The 26,888-nt window shown below is 34.0% G+C and overlaps 2 long non-coding RNA genes and 1 pseudogene across 2 annotated transcripts; 1 reads left to right on the top strand and 2 right to left on the bottom strand.

The window, feature by feature from the left end:
- The first annotated feature begins 60 nt into the window (after positions 1-60).
- On the top strand, positions 61-12,615 carry LOC105378888 (uncharacterized). Its single transcript, XR_947675.3, has 3 exons — positions 61-202; positions 5,279-5,404; positions 12,361-12,615. It is a non-coding gene; the product is annotated as an uncharacterized LOC105378888 (long non-coding RNA).
- LINC01661 (long intergenic non-protein coding RNA 1661) lies at positions 5,685-25,639 on the bottom strand. Its single transcript, NR_147165.1, has 3 exons — positions 25,519-25,639; positions 23,136-23,674; positions 5,685-5,758 (listed from the first exon to the last, which is right to left on the bottom strand). It is a non-coding gene; the product is annotated as a long intergenic non-protein coding RNA 1661 (long non-coding RNA).
- Positions 25,539-26,227, bottom strand: NDE1P1 (nudE neurodevelopment protein 1 pseudogene 1; annotated as a pseudogene).

The following is a 26,888-nucleotide window of genomic DNA, read 5'->3' as shown; positions in this document are numbered from 1 at the left end:
TTCAAAATGGAAAAAATCATAAAAGCAAAGACCATGACTCACTATTCATCTAACTGTTTCCAGCCTCCCTCCTGACCCAAAATGACAGATTATCCTCGTCCCCAGCAACCTGGCAGCACGTGAATGGAAACAGCACAGCAAGTCTCTCACTTTCGATAGATTGGATGTCAAGAATAAAGAGTAATATGATAATAGCAAGAAGGTAAGAGCAATACAACAGGGCTTAATGGGTGAGTGTTTTCAGGATATGGGAAAAATTGCCACCTTTTAAAGATGTAGCTATACAAATGACACCTTCAAAGGAGCAACTAAAGGTTTTAGCGTGTTGGGGGTTTATAGGCACATCTGTAATTTCAGGCATCTGCGGCTGCCATAAAACACAGAGGTAAAAGGGAAGCTCAATTTCACTGTGTATGAGCTGTCATTCTTATGTTTGTGTTTCATTTCTCTAAAAAAGGCTTTAACAGTTTCATTGCATACATTCTTTTTACTCCAAGTTCCTTACTCTCATATTGAAAGAAGGGACCATCAATAACTATGAAATAAGTATCTACATTATTAAGGAAAGACCACAGAGAAGTAAAAAGGCACAGGATAAATATGAAATTAATATTTATTCTAGGCTATCTAACAGTATATGCTATATATCTTTTAATTTGAAGTTGTTACTGAGGTAGCTCTGTGTCTTTATTCAGTCATCATTCATTCATCCATTAACAATTTTTAAACATACAATAGTGTCTTCTGGACACTCTGATAAATCCTGGAGATTTTGTGGTGAGCAAGATAAACACTTTCTTCTGAGATTATAACTCAGTGGGGAAAAAATTAAACAAGTTTTACAAATAAAATAATAAATGCTATCTTAGAGGAGTATGTTTTTCTCTTATCACAGACAGAGGTCAAGTCAAAAAAAGCTTGCATGTGAACAACATTTAAGTTGATCCATAAAGGAAGGGAAGAATGATCAGGAGGGAAGGGAGGGACAGATAGCATAGTCAAATCTTTAAAAATGTGAGAGCATGGAGTTATTGGTATAAGTGGAAAGTGGTGGTAGCGGCAGTGGGGGTTGTGTGTGTGTGCACTGCTACAACAATTTTTGGAATTTCAAAAACAACAATTGTTATGAATTTTAGATTCAGCAAGGACAACTCTGCTCAAAAAATAATGCATATGCTTTATCGTGTTGTTGTGATAATTGTTCTCTGGAATAGTAGCTTTTATTTAACTTTGACCTATACTAAGAAATTCATTTACTTCATTGGTAAGTGCACATATATATGAAATAAATGTTTCGTAAAATAATACCTACCTTACTCTAGTGTGAGGCACTCATATTTTTAACGTATTCTGATTTTTGTCCATTTTTTCTTCTTTTGTTAAAATAACATAAAATTGACCATTTTAACCATGTTTAAACACACAGTTCAGTAGCATTAAGCATATTCATATATTGAGCAGCTACCACCCCATCCATCTCTAGAATATTTTTAATTTTCCTAAATTGAAACTTTGTACCCATTCAACAATAATTCCCCATGACTCCATTCCCTGGCAACCACCATTTTACTTGCTGTCTCTGTGAACTTGACTGCTCTTGACCTCATATAAGTGGAATCATATAATATTTATTCTCTTGTGATTGGTTTATTTCACTTAATATAATGTCTTCTAGATTCATACATGTTGTAACATATGTCAGAATTTCATTCCTTTATAAGGTTTTCTTCATTTTGAAAATTTAGTGTTCTAATGATTTACATATACAAACTCATTTAAACCTAACAACAAGCTATACATATATATATATATTTTTTCTATTCCATTATAGAAACACATTTTAGATTCACTGAAATATCCTTGTCTCACCCACGAGTCAAAACTCATATTTTGAAATCTCTGATCAATGGCATGTCCTGAAGCTAAGTCTTAGTTAAATGCAAGGCATGGATTCAGGGACAACATAAGATGAAGAAAAATAAAGATATTAAAAAAGCAACCAATTGATATGAGTCTATATTGTGTGCATACTAAAAACGAAAAGCAATACAGTTTGCATTGGTTAGGATCCAAGATGATGGTAACACTATAAAGTCTGAGAACTGATGAAAGACTCTGAACCATGATGTATGAAAAAATGACAAAAAGAATGCCTAGTCCAGCAAATATGACATTTTAAGTATCAAGAACTATTTTAATTATAATTGCTGTAGTTACTATTAACACATGGCGTGGTAATAATAATAACCCACACTTAACAGTGTGTGTTAAAGTGTTAGGCACTCTTCTCAGTCCTTGTGGCAAAGACATATATATATTTCACTTAATATAACGTCTTTTACATTCATATATGTTGTAGCATGTGTCAGAATTTCCTTCCTTTATAAGGCTTTCTCCATTTTTAAAACATAAGATAAAGAACAATAAAGATATTGAAAAATGAACCAATTGATATGTATCTATGTTGTGTGCATACCAAAAACTAAAACAATACACTTTGCACTGGTTAGGATCCAAAATGTTGGTGACATTATCAAGTCTAAGAACTGATGAAAGACCCTCAACCATGATGTATGAGGAACCACCAAACCAAACCCACTTACTGTTCCTTATGCCTGCTATTTAGAACAGAGGTCTAATAGCAGCAATCGAGTCTCCACCTGTGACTGGCACCAAATCTACTTACTACTTTTCCTAGGCAAATCACTGGCCTTCATTTTCCAGGGCTTTTATGTGTGAACGTTGCACATGACTGATGACTGGTTGTGGACAGTAGGATGTGAGTTGAAGAGGTGTGGGACAGTTTTAGGCCATGGTGGCTAAGAGCCTGTGTCCTTCTTCACTCTTCTGTGTTGTGATTACCTGTATCGAAAACAGAGAATACAGTGGAAGATGCCAAGGTCCTGTGGGACAATGATGCTCCCAGGTAGAAGAAGACTGTATCCTTGAATTGTCCAGTTTTATAGTGACAACAGCAAGAAATAAGTCTTTTTTTGTCATAGGGCTCTAGGATTTGGGGCTTTTCCTTTGATACAGCAGTTAGCTTACCCTGACTGAAACTGGACCTAACATATTAACTTATGAATCTTCCAAACAACCCTCTGAGATAAGACATGTTACTTTCCTTATAGCTATTGTAAATATGATAAAAAGGAGACCAGAGTAAATATGATAAAAAGGAGACCAGAGAGCTTGAGTAGCTTTCCCAAGGTCACACAGCTAGTAAGTGTTAGGGGCCAAAGTTCAAACCAAGCAGCCTGGTTCCAGACTTCATGCTCTTTACCATTCAAGTCTACCCATTGGCACTAGGTAGCATTTAACTCTTTTAAGTATAGCAGCAATTCCATGAGGTGTTATCCTCATTGTACAGGTGAGGGAATTGAGTTTGAGAAATAAAAAATGTTTCTTACTTCCAGAATTAACATTTGAGCTCATGTTTGTAAGATTCCAGAACTCTTTTTAGGATGCCATGTTTTTTACAACATGGCATACAATGTAGATGAAGAATTGATGAAATTCTGTAGAGCAGAGGAAGCCACGGCAGCAGAAGGCCACAAAGAACTCGATTTTGGTTTAACCACAGAAGATTTTTCTAGCGATTTTACCTATCCTAAAAACAGAATGAGGTTGCCTCGTGAGGTGGTGACTCCCAATCACGGGATTGTAACACAGGCTGGATGAGATTTTGAGACAGATTTTTTTTTAAAGAGGATTAGTGCGTGGGCTGTGTGTTCCACTTGGAAATCGAAAATGCCTTTGATATGTGAAATTCTGTGATAAGGACCTGTTAGAAGGTTGGGTACTAAGGATTCCACAGTGCAAAGCCTTGACTGCACAGCCATATGGGAAGTGACAATCTGTGGAACTTGAATGTGGCAGGTTAGATAGAGTTAATAATTAATGACCCATAATTTCCATTATCTATTTGATAGTGTTAGAATTAGGTGCCAGTTGCAGGTGGAGACTTGATCGCTGCTGTTAGACCTCTCTTCTAATTAGCAGGCATAAGAATCTGGTTGTGAACCTGCGATGTTGCTGAAGGCAAGGGAAACAACCTCAAAGAGAAGTGACAGAAGAAGAACAGATGTAAATGTTTTATGCCCTGATAGGCCATTTCCTTGCCCCTGCCTCTGTCTGGAGACTCAATGTCCTGAGACACATCTACTCTCTTCAAGGAGGCTGCCTGACCCTGACCAGACGCTTCATCATTTAATGTATTCATTATGTCTGAGGTCGGCTTCAATTTTTCAGGTCCTCCTCTAGCTGCCTGGGGATAAGTGCATAAAAAGCCTATCATCAAAACTTCATGCCCTCAGCTCCACAAGTCTTCTGGTATCCTTTCTGAATTTCAGAAACATAGATAAAATGCAAGTCACATTTTACATCCAATGTGGGATAATTTTTTTCTTGGCTTTACAGTATGTGCCAAATTTGATTCCTGTGACAATTCATATTGTACAAAGTGAAAGGAAGCTTTTTAGCCTGCTCTTTTTTTCCTCCTTCCATATGGCTGATTGATTCATCTCATACTACAAACTTTTTCTCTCCCTAAAATGTGATCTCTGGTGCTTTAAATGAATATATCATTGCTTAAATGGTGCAGCGTGGCACAATGTTTCCATTTCAAAGCACAGGCTATGGAGTTGGAGGGAACTGGGATTAAAATACAGCTCTGACAACTTATTATCTATGAAACACTGAGCAAGTCACTTAACTTCTCTGGGTCTCCATTTCCTCAACTGAAAAATAGACATGAATCTGAAGCTGCAAATTGCTTCTCTCATCTAAGATTTTTCATATTCCTTAATTACATTGTTTACTATGTATTAATTTACAACAAATATTCATTTCACGATTTCTGTGTTTCAGTCAGTTTTAAGCACAGAGCAGATATCAGTGAATAGGGGCAGAGTGGTACCTGCTCTCATGGAGCTCAAAGTATGCTAGAAAATATAAATTAAACAACCAATTACCCAGTTTATAACTTAATTACAATGGTGAGTGGTGCCATGAAGGAGAAGAATGGGGACTTAAAGGTGATTAATAGGGGACATGACCTATTATAAGGGATTGGGGAAGGTTGATATGAGAAAATGATACTTATGTTAACTTCATTCAGTAATGTATTTATTATTTATTCAACAATAATTTATTAAATACTGATAATATCCCCAGCATTAGAATACGTTTTAGGGATATTGTGGAGAAAAAAGGTAGGCAAAGTTCTCTCGGAGAGCTTAAAATCGAAAATGATTTTTTTTCCTAACTTCATTTTCAGTACCAAAATAGACTATTGGAGATGAGGAGAATTTCTTAAAAGACAATAAAATGGAGAAGTCACTTCGAGGTGAAAGTACTGGCATTTACTTTATGGAAGAAAAGAAAAACAGGAAAGAAATTTAAAGTAAGTTGGAATAAAGCTTTGGCTGAGAGAAATATGGAGAAGAAAAAATTTATGTGTAAAACTTAGTAATTTGTCTGGGGAACTTAGTTTGATGCCAGAATGAGTTCTGATGAGAATATTACTGGAGCCATTACTCAGCTCTCTGATTTGGTTGGGTGCTTATTCCTTTTAGAATAAATGATCACATTGTTCACTAGCTTGCAGACTCAATGACAGTGCAAAGCAAGTTACATAATCTGTGAATTTTGTTGTCAAATTCACATAATACCCTGATACCTACCTATTTAGAAAATCAGAAGACTTCTTCCTCATTATGAACATTCCATCTCTTCTTAAGGTTGAGGGAAATTCATGCTGTAATTTATTGGTAGTAATTTGTTAGCGTGTAAATATGACTACAGCATCCATACACACACAGATGCAATAATCATCAGTGTGTCTACTAATCAAGTGAGGGTCACATATGAAATGTTCAATGCATCAACAAGATTTTTGACTTTGCTTCTAAATATCTCTTATGCACTTACTGTTCTCGTCATCACTACCTTTTCTAATTTACAATCACCTCTATCCTGCAATAACTTTTCTATTGGTCTAAATTCCATTTATTTTGGCACCCCCTCCACATTAATCTTCACATTGCAGACAGAATGACCTTTTCAAAAATGTAAACCTGATCAAGGTAGTTTCTATTTATTATCTTCTGATTTATGACAAAATTTCCCTATGACCTGGACTGATTTGACCCCTATCTACCTCTATAGCCTCATCATGGAAGAAGTCCCCAATAACATTTTTAGAAAATTTATTTGATATATTTTATTTTTTTAGAGTAGTTTTAGGTTCATAACAAAATTGAGACATTTCCCATATATCCTCTGTCCCTACACATACATAGCCTCCCCTGTTATCAACATTCCCAATCAGAGTGGTGCATTTCTTACAACTGATGACCAGCATTGACACATCATTATCACCCAGCACACATATTTTCCATTAGGATTCATTCTTGGTGTTGTATATCCTATGGGTCTACACAAATGTATCATACAGAGTAGTTTCACTGCCTGAAGTAACCTCCCTACATTCCCTAAAATCCTATCAACCACTGATCTTTTTGCTACCTTCATAGTTTTGCCTTTTTCAGCATGTTATATAATTGGAATCATACATATGTAGCCTTTCAGATTGGCTTCTTTCATGTGGTAATATATATTTAAAGTTTCCTTCTTGTCTTTCCAGAGCTAGACAGATCAATTTTTAGTCCTAACTTATATTTCACTGGTTGGATTAATGAAGGATATTTGGGGTTGCTTCTAAGTTTTGGCAATTATAAATAAACCTGCTATAAAGTGCAGGTTTTTGTGTGGAAATACTTTTTCAACTCCTTCAAGTACATATCAAGTAGTGTGATTGCTGGGTTATGTGGTAAGAATATGTTTAGTTTTATAAGAAACTGCCAACCTGCCTTCCCAAGTGGCTGTACCGTTTGCATTCTTACCAGCAATGAATGACAGTTCCTTATGCTTCTCATCCTCACTAGCATTTGGTGTTGTCAGTGTTTCTCGGTTTTGGTCATTCTAATAGATGTGTAGTGGTATCTTATTCTTGTTTCAATTTGCATTTTCCTGATGACAAATGATGTGGAACATCTTTTCATATGCTTATTTGCCATCTGCATAGCTGCTCTGGTGATGTCTGTTAAGGTGCATATATATATATATATACCCACCATATATAGGTTATATATATATTATATATATAATTTATATATATTTTATAAATATATAATTTTTATATAATTCTGCTTCTCACAGAGCAGAATTTTATACATATTATATTTATATAATTTTATATATATTATATATATAATTTATATATATATAATATATATATGACTTTTTTGAGACAGAATTTTGCTCTACTGCCCAGGCTGGAGTGCAGTGGTGTAATCACAGCTTACCACAGCCTTTACCTCCTGGTATCAAGCGATCTTCCTAGGCTCAAGTGATCCTCCCACCACAGCCTCCTCAGTAGCTGGGACTACAGGCGCATGCCACCATGCCTGGCTAATTTTTTTGATTTTTAGTAGAGACAAGGATGCACTATTTTGCCCAGGTGGGTCTCAAACTTCTGAGCTCAAGAGATTTTGCTTCCTTGGCCTCTCAAAGTCCTGGGATTACAAACATGAGCTACTGAACCCAGACTGTTAAGTCTTTTTTTTAAAATCAGGGTTTTTTTTTTCTCCTTCTTGTTGAGTTTTAAGAGCTCTTTGAATATTTTTGACAAGTCCTTTGTCCAATAGATGTGTCTTCTGCAATATTTTCTCCTAGTCTGTAGCTCATTTTTTTGAATTTTTTATTATCTTGACTGCCTCTCACAGAGCAGAAAATTTTAATTTTAATGAAGTCCAGTTTACCATTCTTCCATAGATTGTGCCTTTGGCATTGTATCTACAAAGTCATCATCAAAATCAGTGACATCAACATTTTCTCCTATGTTATCTTCTTGGAGTTTATAGTTCTGCATATTATATTAAGATCTGCAATCCATTTTGAGTTTTTGAGAAGGTCATAAGATTTGTGTCTAAATTCTCTCTCTCTTTTTTTTTTTTTGCATGTGGATGCTTAATTGTTCCATTTCCATTTGTTGAAAATACTTTTTTTCTCCATTGTATTGCCTTTAACTCTTTGTCAAAGATTAGCTGATTATATTTATTTGAGTCCATTTCTGGGCTTTCTTTTTTTATTCCATAGATCAATTAATCAATTCTCCAATATCACACTGCCTTGATTACTGTAGCTCTATAGGAAGTCTTGAAATCTGGTTGTATTAGTCCTACAAATTTGTTCTCCTTCAATATTTTGTTATCTATGGAGGGTCTTTTGCCTCTTCATATAAACTTAAGAGGCATTTGTCAATATCCACAAAATAACTTTCTGTGAATTTTGATTGGGATTCATTTAATCTAGAAATAAGCTGGGAAGAACTGACATGTTGATAATATTGCCTTCTATCTATAAATATGAGCTCTCTCTCCATTTATTTAGTTTTTTAATTAAGAGATTTAGAGTTTTTTCATGTGCTTCTTATATGTTATTTTTTAGATACTATTAATATAAATAGCATTGTTTCCTAATTTCAAATTCTACTTTTTTATTGCTGGTATACAGGGAAGTGGTTGACTTTTGCATACTGACCTTACATCCTGCAACCTTTTTGTAATCATTTATTGATTCTAGGTTTATTTACTATTTTTGTAAATTCCTTCAGATTTTCTACATGGATAACCATGTCATCTGTGAACAATTTTATTTCTTGTTTCACTTTTCTTTTCTTGTTGACTCTGAATTATCTAGAACTTCCAATAGCATATTGAAGAATCAGAGTGAAATGGGACATCCTTTCCTTGTTCCTGATTTTAGTGGGAAAGCTTTGCGTTTGCTACCATTAAGTGTGATGTTAGCTGTAGGTTTTTTTTTTACAGATGTTCTCAATCAATTTGAAGGTGTTTTCCTCTCTTCCTAATTTACTGATAATTTTTACTGTGAATGGATGTTGGATTTTGTCACCTGATTCTTTTTCTGTATCTATCGATATGATCCTGTGTTTTACTTCTTCAGCCTATTGAAGTGATAAAATTACATTAACTAATTTTTGAATGTTGAACCAGGTTTGCATACCTGGGATCAGTTCCACTTCATTATGATATATAATTCTGTTTACATATTATTGAATTTGATTTGCTAATAATTTGTGAAGATTTTTGGATCTATCTATGTGTCTATCATGAGAGATACTGGTATCTAGTTTTATTTCTTGCATTGTCTTAGTCTGGTTTTGATATTATGGAAATACTAGTCTCAAAGAATTCATTAGAAAGTATTTCCTCTGCTTCTATCTTCTGAAAGAAATGGCAGAGAATTGATATAATCTTTTTATTAAATGATTTCCCTGACTCTTCAAAACCCCTGGCTTTATCTTCCCATACATCACTCTCATATTTCCTTAAAGAACTTATAAATGTTAATGTTTTACATTCATTTATGCCATTATTATTAATATCCTGTTCCCCCATTCCCCTTTCACATAAAAAAGGCTTATAAGGTTAGAGGTTATGTCTACTTTCGCTCATCATTCTAACATATCATTAGGTTTGAAGTAACTACTCAAGAAGTCAATGAATACCTACTGAATTGGATTGATGGATGAATGAATACATTTGATGGCAATCCCAAAACCTGAAATGTCACTGTGGAACCTCCTACAATTAATTTCTCCTACTGATATATTTTAGAAATCTGTATTCCTTTACCTCTACCCCATAGTCAAAACTATGCCACAGCCTACTCTCATTAGCAGACTTGGAATCTGAGAAGACATGCTCTAATAACAGCATTTCATATTATGGCAGCTGATTCAATAGGTTTTTTTGCAACTTCTTCACTTTCAGCATATTCTCTCATTATTTCTTTTATTTCAAGTTACCAGTGTGAAGTTCTTTTACCTTCTCTATCAATTTCCTGCTTCAATGGGATCTTCATACATTGAATTCCCAGACTTCCATCACTTCCTCCTGCCTATGATTTGTCCAAAGATAACCTTTCTACCTGCTTTACATCATTCTCCTTCCATCTCCTCAGGGACATTACTTTATCTGTTAGTATATTTTGTTAATTAAATGGTAAACACATTTCTAATTTATCATCTTCTCTAATCCTTCTGCAGCATTCAACCCTTTTCATTTCTTCCTCCTTCTTAAAACCATTTCTCTTCCTATTTTTTCTTATACGAACTCTCCTGGTTCCTCTCTTATCTGTCACATGCATTTTGTGTCTTCTTGTATTTTTCAATCCCCTGAATATATATAATCCCCACAAACAAAGATATTGGACCACTTTACTTTCTTCTATGCAGTTTCTCTCTTAAAAGTATCATCAACTTAACTATTTAAAATTGTCTTTTTTCCCTGTGCTTAAAAACAAAACACCTGCTGTTATCTTAAAGGAAGCTCCCAGAACCACAAGCTTGAGAGGGGACTGGACTCTACAATGGGTATGTAGCTTCTGATGCACAGCAGGAGATAATGACAAGATTCAGTCTGCTATCCCTTTCAACCAGACACATCGACATGCTAGAATTTGACAGTGATTTTCTATGCTTTAATATTTAAATGCAAGAACTCTGATGCATATCACTTTGTGTGTGGTGCCATTTTCCATGCGTTCCTTGGCATCTTGCATGACAATAATTGTGAGCCTGGGAAATATGAGAGTATACCAAAAGCTGAATATAACTTACCATCAAACTTCTCGCCATTTATAATGACTTTAGTTGTTTTCATTTTCTTCTCTCTTACCTTATTCTCTTCTTACTAATTCACTGACTAACTCATTCATTCAACACATATTTATGAATTACCACTAAGATACAGTGGTGAGTAAGAACAGACAATAATCAAATAGCTTCCTGCTTAATGGTGGGACAAATAATAGTAACTTGAATTTTCTTAGGCATTTTCACCGTACAGATATAGATTGGATCACTTTAATATTTACAGTATATTAATAATTTTTTTGTTATTTCCTGCAATCTGCAAAGGACACCTAGGAACTTTCAGAATCTCCCTCAAGTAATTGAGAGTTTTCAGGGGCTGTTTCACATGTGTTCAGGAATCATCCTCTCAGCACTGGCTTTATCTCATACCTGGGCTACTTTTCATTGATATTCTTAGTTAGATAAGCTATTTAAAAGAGATTCATCTTACTAAAAGAATGTGAAAGTCCACACCAAAATTTATGTCCCAATGTTCTCAAGGCCTCCAAATGCTTAAGGTGCCAAAGTGATTTTATATTCACTTCAGCCTCCTCATGTCAGTTTTATACTTTATGAAAATATGTCTTAAATTTCTTATGTAGATAACTCTACTTTCTTCTATAGCAACTCCTCTCCTTAGGTAATTGGTTGGATGGACAGACAATTCAGTGTATGGTGCTCAGCTGCTGTTCAAGCAGCAGTCCAGAAGTTACTGTCAATGTATTTGAATGTATTTTTTAGATTTAAATCAGTAGACTGAATAAACCACATTACTCTCCATAATGTGGGTTGGCCTCATCCAATCAGATGAAGACCTTAAGATAAAAGACTGAGGACTGAGGTCCTCAGAAGAGGAAAGCATTCTGCCTCCCAACTGCCTTCTACTTAAGCCTGCAGCATTGACTCCTGCTGGAATTCCCAGCCTGCCAGGCTGCTCTGCATATTTTGAACTTGCCAGCCTCTAAAATTATGTGCACTAATCTTTTAAAATAAATATTTTTCTCTTGCTCACTTTCTTCTCCCATATTCTTCTGTCTCCATCCTATTGTTTCTGTTTCTGTGGAGAACCTGACAAATACAGTCTTCTCTGTTAGCTCACTCCCATGGCCAATTCATACAATTTCTCCCTTCCTGCTTAATTTAAAATCCAAAATCTTCACATAAATAGATTCTTGTGTGATTTTTACACAGATTGCCAAATGTAATAGGCTGAAAAATTGTTCCTCAAAGATGTCCAAGCCCTGACTGTCAGGTGAATATGTTATTTTACATGGCAAAAGGACTTTGCATGTGCAATTAGGTTCTTGAGATGGGTAAATTATCCTGCATTATCTAGGTGGTTCCAGTGTAAACACAGTGTCCTTATAAAAGGGAGGTAGGAGTTTGAAAGTATGAAGAATGTGATGTCACAACAGAAGCAGAGATTGGAGTGACATGGCTGTGAGCCAAGGAATGTGGGCAGCCTTGAGAAGCTGGGAGAGACAAGGAAAGGATTCTGTCTAGAGCCTCCAGAAGGAACTGTGCTGCCAACACTTTGATTTTAGCCCTGCAAGACTCATTTCAGACTTCTGACTTCCAGAATTCTAAGAGAATAAATTTGTGTTGTTTAGAGTTACTAAATTTGTGTTAATTTGTTACAGTACAACAAGAAAAACTAATACATCAAACATGCCTGAAGTTCAGCCCTGAATGTAGCCTGTGCTCAAACTGCGATTCCTACTACACAAAAATGAGCAATTAAAATACAGTGTGATAGACTCCCACTTCTAGCCAACTGGTACCAGACTTGCCTTCCTGCCATAAATAACTGGAAAAATGGACCAGATATATTAAACAGCTCTTTTCAGGCATTGGACAGCTGGCATCTGAGCAATGTGATCCTTTGGAGAAGGGAAACAAATGAGGTGAGTCCTATGTTTGTCCCAGCTTTCTTTTTGTAGGCATTTTCTGTGCTGTGGCAGAGAAAGGGAAATCTAAGCAAAGTATAGTAGACTCTCTGACTTGAAGAGACAGAGATTAGAGTTTGAGGAATCTGAGGTGGTCGAAATCTGGAAACTACATAGAAAAATAGTCATAGAAATATGTGCATAGACCTTTGAGTTTTTAGCTGACTACTAACCTGCATATGCATAGAGTAAAACTCAATGATGTAGAACAAAGAAAAACTTGGAGTTGTAAGCTGAGCAATTTGCAGAGCTTATGTATTTCTGTGAGACATTTGAGTCCCAATCATGCAAAGTGGAGGGTGAACCACAGAGCACTTAGTAGATACCCCAGAATGGCAGTAGGGCTAAAGCAGGCTTAGAGGAAAATCTAGTCTAGTCCCACCTTTAAAAAGCTTATGAAGGGGTCTGTAAATAATTAAGCCAACCTGCAAGTTATGTAAGTGTCTGTTAGAACAAAGCCCAACATTATTTAAAAGAAATTAATGAACACCTTCATTGTCACTCATTCTGTGTCTTATATCTTCAGAATGTATTTATCTTACAATATATTAACACTTTGACCAATATCTCCCCATTTCTCCCAACTCCCCCACCAACCCCACCAGCCTTTGGCAATCACCATTCTACTCTCTGCTTCTATGATTCTGAGTTTGTTTAATTCCACATATAAGTGAGACTGTGCAGTATTTCTCTTTCTGTGTCTGGCTTATTTCATTTAGCATAATATCCTCCAGGTCACAAATGTCAGGATTTCCTTCTTTTTTATGGCTGGATGATATTCCATTGTTTGTATATGTGTGTATTTATTTATTTATACATACATAAATACATACTGTATTTTCTTTATCTATTCACCCATTAATGGAAACTTAGATTGTTTCAATATCTTGGCTATTGTGAATAATACTACAATAAATTTGAATGTGCATTTATCTTTTCAAGTTACTGATTTCATTTCCTTTGGATATATACCTAGAAGTAGAATTGCTAGATCATACAGTAGTTTTAAAGTTTTGCAGAAACTTCATACTGTCTTCTATAATTCTTCTACTAGTTTACATTTCCACCAACAGTGTACAAGATTTACCTTTACTCTACATTTTCATTAACACTTGTTATCTCTTATGTTTTTGATAATAACTTTCCTAACAGATGCGAGGTGATATCTCGTTGGGGTTTTGATTTGCATTTTCCTGATGGTCAGTTGATACTGAGCACCTTTTCATGTACATGCTCAACATTTTTATGTCTTCTTTGAAAAAAAAGTTTGTTCAGGTTCTTTGCCTATTTTTAAGAATAGGTTTTTTGTTTGTTTGTTTGTTTGTTTTTGGCAATTGTGTCAATTCCTCATTTAACCCTTATCAAATATACAATTTTGAAATATTTTAGTTCATTTCATAGGTTGTCTTTTCATTTTTTTGAATTTTATTCTTTGCTATACAGGCGCATTTTAGTTTGATATATTTCCATTTGTTTATTTTTGCTTTTGTTGTCATATATAAAAAAATCAATGCATTAAAAATTCAAGGAGTTTTCTATTTCTGTTTTCTTCAAGAAGTTTTATATTTTGAATCTTACATTTAAGTCTTTAATCCATTTGGAGCTAATTTTTGTATATGGTGTAAGACAAGGCTCCAATTTCATTCTTTTTCATGTTAATACCCAGTTTTCCCAACAACATTTATTAAAGAGACTATCTTCCCATAGTAATCTTGGCACTCATGTCAAAGATTAGTTGAACATGTATGTATGGGTATATGTCTGGATTCTTTGCTCTACTCCATTGGTCTATGTATCTGTTTTTATGTCAGTACCATGTTGTTTTGATTACTACAGCTTTGTAATATAGTTGAAATCAGGGAGTGTGATGCCTTCAGCTTTGTTCTTGCTCATGTTTGCTTTGGCTATTCAGGGTCTTTCGTGGTTCCATATAAATTTTAATTTTTTTTCTATTTCTATGAAAAATGTCATTGGAATTTTTATAGAGATTGCATTGAATCTGTAGATCACTTTGGGTAATATATACATTTTTACAAAATTATTCTTCCAATCCATGAAAAGAAGATATATTTTCATTTATTTGTGTCTTTAATTTCTTTCCTCAATGTCTTTTCAGTGTACAGATCTTTCACCTCTTCGTTTAAATTTATTTCTAAGTATTTTTTTTGATGTTACTGTAAATTGAATTGTTTTCTTAATTTCTTTTTTGAATACATATTTTTTCATGTATAGAAACCCAGGTAATTTTTGTGTGTTGATTTTGTATCCTAAAAATTTACCAAACTACTTTATTTGTTCTAAAATTTTTTTGGTGAAGTCTTTAGGGTTTTCTATATATAAGATTATGTCATCTGTACAGACAATTTTACTTGTTCCCTTCCAATTTGAATACCTTTTATTTATTTTTATTGTCTAATTGCTCTGGCCAAGACTTCTAGTACTACTTTAAATACAAGCGGCAAAAGTGAGAATCCTTTTCTACGTTCTGATGTTATAAGTAAAAGTTTTTAACTTTTCAACATTGAGTATAAGTTCGCTATAGGTTTGTTAAATATGGCCTTTACTGTGTTGAGGTATATTTCTTCTATATTTAATTTGTTGTGAGGTTTTATTATGAAAAGATGTTGAATTTTGTCAAATGCTTTTTCTGCATCTATTAACATAATAAGTTTTATTATTCATTTTGTTAATGTGGTGTATCACATTTATTAATTTGCACATACTGAATTATTCTTTCTTTTCTTGGTGTCCTTATCTGGATTCGGTATGAGGGTAATTCTGGACTCCTAAAATTAGTTTGGCAGTGTTCTGTTCTCTTCAACTTTTTGGAAAGGTTTGAAGGATTGGCACTAATTCTTCTTTAAATGCTTAGTAGAATTCACCAATGAAGTCATCTAGTCCTGAGCTTTGTTGTTGTTGTTGGGAGGCTTTTGATTACTGATTCAATAACTCTATTTGTTATTGGTCTGTTCAGATTTTTATTTTCTTTATGATTCAATCTTGGTAGACTGTGTATCTCCAGGAATTTATTATTTTTCTCTAGGTTATCCAATTTGTTGGTGTATAATTATTATAATTGTCCATAATAATCTCTTTTGATCCTTTGCATTTCTGTGATATTAATTGTAATGGTTTACCTTTCATTTATAATTTTATTGGAGTTCCCTCTTTTTTTTTTGGCTAGCATAACTGAATGTTTGCCAATTGTATTTATATTTTCAACCAAATTTTTAGGTTCATTGACCTTTTCTGTTGTTTTTCTAGTCTATTATTTTATCTATGTTTACTCTTATTTTTATTATTTCCTCTTTTCTTCTGCCCTTGGAATATTTACTTTTCTTTTTCTAGTTCCTTGAAGTGTGAAGTTGAGTTATTTGAAGTATTTTTTTCTTAATATAGGCTTTTATTGCTAGAAACTTCCATGTTAGTACTCCTTTAGTTGCATTCCCTAAGTTTCGGTATGTTGTAATTTCCACTTTTGTTTTTCTCAAGATACTTCTTTTTAACTTCTTTTTAGATTTTTTTTTTTTTTTTGGCTGGGAGCGGTGGCTCACGCCTGTAATTGCAGCACTTCAGGAGGCCGAGATGGGTGGATCTCGAGGTCAAGAGTTTGAGACCAGCCTGACCAACATGCTGAAATCCCGTCTCTACTAAAAATACAAAAAAATAAATTAGCTGGGCGAGGTGGCGCACGCCCAGGAGGCTGAGAGAGCAGAATTGCTTGAACCCAGGAGGTGGAAGTTGCAGTGAGCAGAGATAGAGCCACTGCACTCCAGCCTGGGCGACAGAGGGACACTCTGTCTCAACAACAACAACAGCAACAACAACAACAACAACAACAACAACAACAACAACAACATTTTTTTCTTTGATGCAATGGTTGTTCAGAAGTGTGTTGTTTTTAATTTTCACATATTAGTCTATTTTCCAAAATTTCTCCTGTTACTGATTTCTAGATTTTACCAATATGATTAGTAAAGATATTTGAGATGACTGTTACATTGGTGAAGACTTGTTTTGTGGCCTAACATATGATCTATCCTGAAGAATGTTTTTTGTATGCTTTAAAAGAATGCGTATTTCACTGTTATTGGATGGGATGTTCTATATATATATGTGTGTGTGTGTGTGTGTGTGTGTATGTATATATGTGTATACATATTTATGTATATATGTGTGTGTATATATATATATGTATGTGCATATATATATCAGTGAGATCTATTTGGCCTATACTGTTATTCAAGTCCACTATTGATTTTCTATTAATGATATCTCTGGTGTTGAAATTGGAGTATTAAAGTCATTTACTGTTATTGTATTACTGTCTAGTTCTCCTGTTAATTCTTTTAATATTTGCTTTACATGTTTAGGTGATATGATGTTCATTTAAAGAACATAATAATTATAAATATAAATGCACCCAACATTGGAAGTCCAACATTCTTTATATTTTAAAAAAATTTCAACAATTTAAAAACACAAAATTTACATTATCCAGAATTTGATTTAAAAACAAGAGAAAAAGCAGAAAAATGTGTCCCATTACAAGGAGAAAAATCTGTCAATGGAAACAGATCCAAAAATGGCAAATGATAGAATTATCAGACAATGACTTTAAGATAGTGATTAAAAATGTATGTAAAGATTTAAAGGAAAACATAAACATAATTAAGCTATAAACTGAAACTCTGAAGCATAATGAAATGATTAAGAGTTGTAAATGCAATAAAAGAAGTGGAAATTTTAATGGTTGGTTAATAGTAGATTAGAAACTGTGGAGGAAATAATTAATAATCTTGATATGGTTTGGATTTGTGTCTCCACCCAAATCTCATGTCAAATTGTAATCCTCAGTGTTGGAGGATGGACCTGATGGGAGGTGATTGCATCATGGGCGGGGGTGAATTTCCCCCTTGCTTTTCTCATTATAGTGAGTGAGTTCTTACAAGATCTGGTTGTTTAAGAGTGTATAGCACCTCCCCTTCTCCCCTTCTCTCTCTTTTCTCCTGCTTTGCCCATGTAAGACAGGCCTGATTTCCCTTCTGTTATGATTGACAGTTTCCTGAGGCCTTCCCAGCCATGCTTCCTGTATAGCTGGCAGAACTGTGAGCAAATTAAAAACCTTTTTTTAAAATAAATTAGTTAGTTTCAGGTATTTCTTTGTAGCAGAGTGAGAACAGACTAACACAAATCTTAAAGATATATTAATAGAAATTACTTGAATTGAAACACATAGAAAAAGAAACCAAAGTGTCATAAAGGGTCTCATTGATATGTGGGACAAATATCAAGTAGTCTAATATACATGAGAGTAAAACTAGCGAAACTGAAAGAGATATAGACAAATTTACAATTATAGTTATAAATTTCTAGAATCTTCTCTCAGTAACTGGTAGAAGAAAAACACATATCAACAAACATCAACCAACTAGACTAGATAGGTCAAAGTGCCCACAGGTCAAGTAGAAATTACATGAAGATTTAGAAAATGTTTCTAATTGAGTGACAATGAAAAACATAACATATCAAAATTTAGGTGTACATGAAGAGAAATTTATTCTCTTACATGCATATTTTAGAAAAAAAGTGTCTAAAATTAAGTCTAAGCTTCTTTCTTAAATGCTACCAAAAAATTATACTCAAGGAAAGTAGAAAGTAATAATAAAAACAATAAAGATAAATAAGTACAATAAAATAATTAGATGGTAGTAAGTACAAGGTATTAATAAGGCAGAAAGCAATAAAAAGAGAGATCGAAATGTAGTAGAAAAACTTAAATAAATTTTTTTTCCTTCAAATTATCAAAAAATGGCAATCAAGCTACATTGAACAGAAAAAAAAAAGACACAAGTTACCAATTTCAAAAATGACAGAAGTATTGCTGCAGACTCTACAGGCATTAAAAGGGGGAATGTTATAATATGATATCGATAAATGCCAAGAAATTGATTACTTTAGATAGCATAGATACATTTCTTAAATGGTACAAATTACAAAAATTGAATTAATAAGAAGGAAAATTTTTATAGCCATATATATATGAAAGAAATTAAATATACAATTAAAAACTTTCCCATGAAGAAAAATACAATCCAGAATAGCTTTGCTTGTGAACTCTAGACAATCATTTAAGAAAAGAAATACTAGCTATTGTTTGAAAATTCACAAATACTGAAAGGAGAAATAATTCCAAACTGATTTATGGTACTGGCATTACAGAATGCATGTAAAATTACACATGAATATACTTTATGAATACAAATGCAAAATCCTTAACAAAATATTATCATAATTAAATCCAGCAATAAACACAAAATATAACACACCATGAGTAAATAAAATTTATCTCTGGAATGCAAAGTTGGTTTATAACTTGAGTATCAATCAATGTATTTTGTCACATTAATACAACAAAGGAGTTAAACTATATAATAATTTCAATATGTGAAGAAAACTAATTTAACAAAACTCAATATTAAATAATTTAAAAAGCTATTAAGAGAACGGGAATAAATAAAAACTTACGCAAACTGAAAAAGAGTATATCCAAAACCTTCATCTGACATCGTATTTAATAGCTCTAAGGTTGGGAAAAAAGATTACAATTTCTCTCATGTTCCTCTTCCACATTTTAGTGGAAGTTCAAGCCAGTGTAATAAGAAAAGTAAGAGAAATAAAAGACATATGCTTTGGAAATAAATAGGTAAATGTGTCTTTGTTTGTCAATGACATGATTATGCATATAGAAGATCCTAAGAATCTATAAAAAAGCAAGTAGGACTAAAAAGTGAATTTAACAAGATCACAAGATACTAAATCAATATAGAAAAAGCTATTATATTTCTCTATATTAGCAATAAATAATTTAAAAAATAAAATTGCCATCTACAAAGCTAGCATAACCCTGATACCAAAGCCAGACAAGGACACAATTTAAAAAAAGAAACTACAGGCTAATATCAGTGATGAATATAAACACAAAAATTCTCAACAAAATACTAGCAAACTGAATCCAACAACACATCAAAAAATAATACACTATGATCAATTGGGATGTATATAGATCAATTAGACCCATAGATCCATTAACATCATACATTACATCAATAGAATGAGGGACAAAAATCATATAATTTTCTCAATATGTGAAGAAAAAGCTTTTGATAAAATTCAACATCTCTTCATGATAAAAATTCTAAATGAATTAGGCATAGAAGGAAAATAACTTAACATAATAAAGACCATATATGACACATTCTGTTCAGCTAACATCCTACTGAATGGAAAGTTTTCAGGTTTTCCTCCAACTGGAAGAAAAAATAAAACAAGGATCCCCACTCTCACCAATCCTTTTCAACATAGTATTGGAAGTCCTAGCTAGAGAAATTAGGCAAGAGAAAAAATAAAACACATCCAAATTGGAAAGGAGGAAATTATATTTTCCCTGAAGACAACATGATAGTATGTATAGAAAAACCTGAAGACCCTACCAAAAAACTGTTAGAACTGATACATGAATTCAGTAAAGTTGCAGTACATGAAATTAATATACAAAATCAGTAGTGTTTTTAATACAGTAACAACAAACTAGCTGAAAAAGAATCAAGAAGGCAATCACAGTCATAGCAGCTATAAAAGTATAGTACCTAGGAATAAATTTAATCGAGGAGGTGAAAGACCTTTACAAGGAAAACTACAGAACACTGATGAAAGAAACTGAAGAGGCTGGGAGCAGTGGCTCACACCTGTAATCCCAGCACTTTGGGAGGCTGAGGCAGGTGGATCACTTGAGGTCAGCAGTTCACCAGCCTGGCCAACCTGGTAAAACCCTGTCTCTACTAAAATTACAAAAAAAAAAAAAAATTATATATATATATATATATATATATATATATATATATATATATATATATATGTATTAGCCAGGCGTGATGGTGGTAATTCCAGCTACTGTAATTCCAGCTACTCGGGAGGCTAAGGCAGGAGAATCATTTCAACTTGGGAGGCGGAGATTGCAGTTTGCTGAGATCACGCCACTGCACTCCAGCCTGGGTGACAGAGGGAGACTCTGTCTCAAAAAAAAAAAAAAAAAAAAAGAGAGAGAGAGAGACATTGAAGAGGGAACTAACAAATGGAAAGATATCCCATGCTCATGAATTGAAAGAATTAATATTGTTAAAATAACAATACTACCTGAAACAATCTACAGATTCAATGCAATCCTTATCAAAATACCAATAACATTCTTTATAGAAACAGAAAATAATCCCCAAATTTATATTGAACAACAAAATACCCCAAATAACCAAAACAATCCTGAGCAGAAAGAACAGAGCTGCAGGTATCATACTACCTGACCTCAAAATATACTACAAAGCTATAATAACCAAACAGCATGGTACTGGCATAACAACAGATACATAGACCAGTGGAACAAAATAGAGAACCCAGAAATGAATCCACATATTTACAGTCAACTGATTTTTTTTATGAAAGTTATAAGAACTTTCACTGGGGAAGAACAATCTCTTCAATAAATGGTGCTGGGAAAACTGGATATCCATATGCAGGAAAATGAAACTAGACCCCCATCTCTCACCCTATACAGAAATCAACTCAAAATGCATCAAAGACCTAAATGTAATACTTGAAACAGTAGAAATACTAAAATAAAAAAGGGAAATAGTTCAGAACATTGGTCTGGGAAAAGATTTTATAAATAAGACCTCAAAAGCTCAGGCAACAAAAGCCAAAATAAAGAAAAATGGTTATGTCTAACTGAAATGGTCTATGCAGCAAAGAAAACAATAAACATTTCCAGACAACCTGCAGAATGGGATAAAATATTTACAAACTACTCATCCAACAAGGGACTAATATCCAGAATATACAAGGAACTGACACATCTCAATAGCAAAAAGTAAACAAATTAATTTAAAAATGGCCAAATAATCTGAACAGACATTTCTCAAAAGAAGACATACAAATGAACAATAAATACAAGAAAAAATTTTTAGCATTACTAATCATCAGCAAAATGCAAATCAAAACTATAATGAGCTATTGTCTTACCCCAGTTAGGATGGCTACTATCAAGATACAAAAATAAAAAATACTGAGGAGGATGTGGAGAAAAGGGAACTCTTACACACTGTTGGTGGGAATGTAAACCAGTATTGCCACTACAAAGAACAGCATGGAAGTTCCTCAAAAAAACTGCAAATGTAACTTACCGTGTGATCTAGAAATCCTACCATTGGAAATTTATCCAAAGGAAAGGAAATCATTACATGGAAGAGACATCTGTACCCCCATGTTTATTACAGCACTTTTCACTATAGCCAAGATATGGAATTAACCTGGGTGTCCAAAAACAGATGAATGGGTAAAGGAAATTTTGTATATGTACACATGGAATACTATCCAGCCATAAAAAAAGAATAAAATCTTTTCATTTATGGCAGTGTGGATGAAACTGGAGGACATATGTTAAGTAAAAGAATCCAGCAACATAAAGTTAAACACTGCATGTTCTCACTCATACGTGGAAGCTAAAAAAGGTTGATCTCATAGAAGTAAAAAGTAGAACAGAAGATACCAGAGGCTTGGAAGGGTGGGGGAAGAGAGGGATAAAAAGAGATTTGTTGAAAGATACAAAATTACAGCTAGGTAGGAGGAATAAATTCTGATGTTCTATACCACTGTAGGATGTCTATAGTTAACAATAACATATACTTTCTAAATAGCTAGGAGGATAGTGAACATTCCCAACACAAAGAAATGATAAATATTTGAGATGATGAATATGGTAATTATTTTGATCTAATCACTACACATTATATGTATTGAAATATCACTATATACTCCATGAATATGTACAATTATTTCTTGTCAATTAAAAAAGGATAAATAAGCATATAAGAAAAAGCAAAATATTAAATTAAATTAAAAAGTACTATGTGAATGTGTTGTAAAATTGACATAAAATGTGTAACATCTAGTAATAAATTTAATTAAATATATATAAGAACTATATATTGGAAATGACATAAAATGGCTGAAAGAAATTAAATATCTAAATTAATGAAGAGATAAACTATGCTTAAAATGCATGGCTCATATTTTAATGTAAGTTATGATTCAGTAAATTTGCTTTAATATATATATATATATATATATATACACACACACACACATATAGTGTGATAAATGTTATACTGAGGGTAAGGATTCCTAATTCAATTTTGTGTGTAGGCAGTGTGTTCCAGAAATTCTTCCCAAATTTGCCAGCTGTAGGAAGAGTAGGATTTAGATAAAGGGAGGAGGGTGTTTCTGATAGTCATTTAGGAACCACCAAGCTGTTAAGTAAACTTGGGGTATAGTATGTGAGGCCTGGATTCTAAGAGATGAGACTGGGAAGGATCAGAACATGAAAAGCCTCATAGTATGAACTTGAGAATAAGTACCTTTTAAAATTTTGTACCATAGGTGCCTCTCTGGCTTCATCCTTGTTGTCACGCTGCTTGTAAGCAACGCTATGGGATTTGAGACTTCCCTTGTGAATCCTGCGTTGTGTAGAGACAGATTAAAATGTTGATGCGATGAGGGGAAGAGACAGATCTGAATGGTTTCCCACTTGAATCTTCCAAGATACTCCTAGATTGGGTAGTAGTGTCCCTCCTAGCAGGAATAGAGAAATTAGAAATCTAGGAGGTCTGGGAGGAAAATGACTTCTGGAAGCCTTTCTGAAGGTAGTAGAGACTGGCTAAATTTGTGGTTCAGATTCTTCTGTTCGAAGTGTGCCTTTGACTGAAGTGCTAAGAGGAACCAGGGTGGGGATGTTGGTTACCAGCACTTTAGTACTTATTTGCATTTGCAGAGATATGTTTATCTGTGAGTTTTCCTCTATATTAATCACTTAGCTCCCAGTTTAGGAAGAATGACAGAAACCATCTCATAGAAATCTTTTCCAGGATTTGGTTTTAGTAGATGAGGTGCAGCAGCCCTGGGGAAAAAAGGGGGATTTTGAAGATCATCTCATTAAGCATAATCTCTCTTTCTTCTTTTTCTACATAACGTTCTCAGCATCTTTAATCATTGCTCATTATGTTGATCATCATTCAATTACCCTAGTTTGCCAATGCTCTTTAGAAATTTTCTGTGCCTTTGTTTGTTAGTTAAGTAAATAGTACCTGGTTCTCAGGGGAACACCATTATCACTGATTAGAGTGTCCTGTGCAAGGCAGAGTAGGACTAGTTCCACTGTTGAAATGAATCTACTGTAGCCCCTAAGTTTCCAATAATTTTTGTTTTTCCCCTCTACCTTTCAAAACAAACTTCATTCCACATACCAATTCCATGGTATAAAACAGATTTGAGAGAATAGAAATATGGACTGTTACCATTTATAATGGAAATGTAGAAGATTCAATTAAATGATCAAATGTTAAAATATTTTTAGCAGTACATACACTTATATAAACTATGTTACTAAAAATTAAAATTAAAAAGTTTTAATGATGGATTTGGTTTTTCATATTTACTTAGTTCAATAAAAACAAGCAGAAGCCAAAATAGTTTTCACCACCATGTGAGACAATAAAGAAGTATCAGCATATATGGCAGGATTAAACACCATCATGAGGTTATCACTCAGCTGGAAACAAATTGAACATTACTTTCTTTCGCTTCTTTTATTGTTGTAAAAAAATAAAAGCCTATCTTTTTTATGCAGATTAAGAAAACATTTAGTTTAGGAAGCCTGGCACTTATTTCTTCTACTGAATTTCAGTAGTATAAAAAGTTGTATTCTTGACTCAAAGATACATTTGCTTTTTTCCTAGAAAATAATAACAAAAAGAAAATTATTAAGCAGAGAATAGTGTTCCTGAAATTAGTGTGTTCTTTAACAAATGTGAGACATCAGATCATAATAATCAGTGATGAGTAAACCACTGTAGATTATTTGATATCCTGTGTTATTTTACTTCTTTGATAAGTAAGCTTCTAGCAACAATTTTCATATGTGAATTTCCTTTGAAGGATGCCTCTATTAATTCAATAAGGTTTTGAATAAAGCCCCATTATCAGGGGCTATGTTACCGAGGCCAGTCTGCCCTGATGGAAGACCCTCTTAGAACCAAAAAATGAGGTCAATCTCACACTGGAGAGTCAGACAGTCTAATGGTCAGAAAACACCTGAAGAATAAAAATTACTAAACTGACACTGGTCAAGATGAAATTTACCTTCAACCTCAGAAGTTGGAGACAAGCAGATCTCCAAAAGCCCAGTAAGAGGCAAATTAATCAGTCTTTAGCTAGGCATCGTGGTAGAAGGTATTATTTTGGGAAAAAAATCTGGTAAATTGCCACTCGAATTCTAGAAATAGTTTAAAATGTCAATCCTTAATGTGCCATAAAGCATTGGAGGTTTTTGTTCTGGTAGACATGAATGGCAGTCTGCAAATCCAGTTGATTAAGTTTTAAGTCATATAAAGGACATGCATAAACCTTTATATGACCCATCAAAGGCTTTCTGATTTTATTAAAACAACATCTTGACTACACTCTGCAGTGATGGTAAGAAAAGTTTTGAAGGTAGCACCCCAAATTTCAAGCATTTTCCAACCTTTTGTGGCTCAGTCACATGGGTACTACCCGGCTATTGGTTACTGCTATCTCTCGTCCCTGCTCCCCCTCCATAACGTCAGAACACTTGCTCAGTTTGGAGACTAATCAGTCAGACATGAGAGTCTAAGAGGATGCCCTATTGACCACAGTAAGTTCGTTCCAAGATTGAGTGAAGTTATTGCAGTCACAGGCATTGAAGATAGGGGTTGAGTGACTCACTAGATCACATCAGATTTCCACTGTATATTTAGATCAGAGCAAGATCCTCCCTGGTGAACTCCATCGAGCCATTGCTTTGGGTTTAGATGGCTTTGTCCAATTGCTTAGCTTCCACTGAGCTGAGCTTAGGGGTTCTGGAATTCTCTTGCAGTTACTGTTCTGTGGATTTCTACCACACACATGCACAAACACACACACACACACACACACACACACACAAATCATTAGCTTAATCTTCCATCTTCTGAACAGATTTCAGGAGATTTTCTTTCATGGCAAGTTTTTTTTTTTTTTCCTCTTCCAAGAAGGTGGTTCTTTTATTGGTTTAATTCAGATACAGTTCAGACTCTTGCAGAGACATAACAGAGGCTCATTCTGCTTGTTCCATGGAATCACTTGTTTGCCCAGCTCTCTGATATATTTTTGTAATTCATCTGCAATTCTTTTAGTTTTTACTAGGCCATTCTGTACTGCAGAAATCTCCTGGACGATTCCAGAATGTTGCTTTTTGGAAAGATTCTAACTCCATCAGGAGGTGGTTATTTTCTGACCAGAGAATCCCTGTTCCTATTTTTAATGTGTTGCAGCTGTGCCTCCCTGTCATTTTTTTGCTTCCCTCTGGGGCTTTTTTGCAATTTCTCTGCATATTCTTTGACCTTTGCTTCTTTGACATAGCTAGATCTTTTCAACAGCAAGCTTCTTCCTCCTGTAGAACTAAAAATATTATCTTCCTTTTAAAGTGGAGGAACAGCTTCACACTTCTTGTGTCCTGGTATATGAGTTCTGATGGTGATGGTGGGCTGGTTCCTGGGGTTACAAGGCCCCCCGGGTCTTTAGGCCACAGTCACAAACCTGCATTAGTTTCCAAAGAGGCTGTTTCACACTGGTTCATTTTGATGTTGTGAACTATAATTCCTGAGAGTATTTTTTATGAATTGCAGTTTTGTCAATTTCCTTTCAGATCTGTATTTGGATATTTTATTAAAAAGTCTGAATAAAGGATTTGAAAATGCCACTTATTAGATTTTAGCTTGATTTTAGAGATAACTTGGATTATTGATTTTGTACTCATCCAATGTATGAGCTGCCCATCTCCCTAGCTTTATGTCATTCACAGATTTTATGAGCTTAATTTTGTATATTCTCTTAAAAGTATTTATTGTGGGCCATGCATGAACTAAATATTTTGTCAAGCACAGTACAAAGGCTCGTAAAATAAAATTCTTCTCTTTGAGTTGATAACAGGCTGGTGGAAATCAGGTTAAGTAACCAAATAATTGTAATGCTGTGTGATATAAACCATAATAATGATGCAAGTTTTCATTGTTTTAGAACTGCTGAAATTAGAGATGACTCCCTTCTTTGGACAA

This window comes from Homo sapiens, chromosome 1 (genome assembly GCF_000001405.40).
Source record: "Homo sapiens chromosome 1, GRCh38.p14 Primary Assembly".
Lineage (NCBI taxonomy): Eukaryota > Metazoa > Chordata > Mammalia > Primates > Hominidae > Homo > Homo sapiens.
Note: the sequence above shows the minus strand (reverse complement) of the source record. Positions and strands in the feature narration are given on the sequence as shown.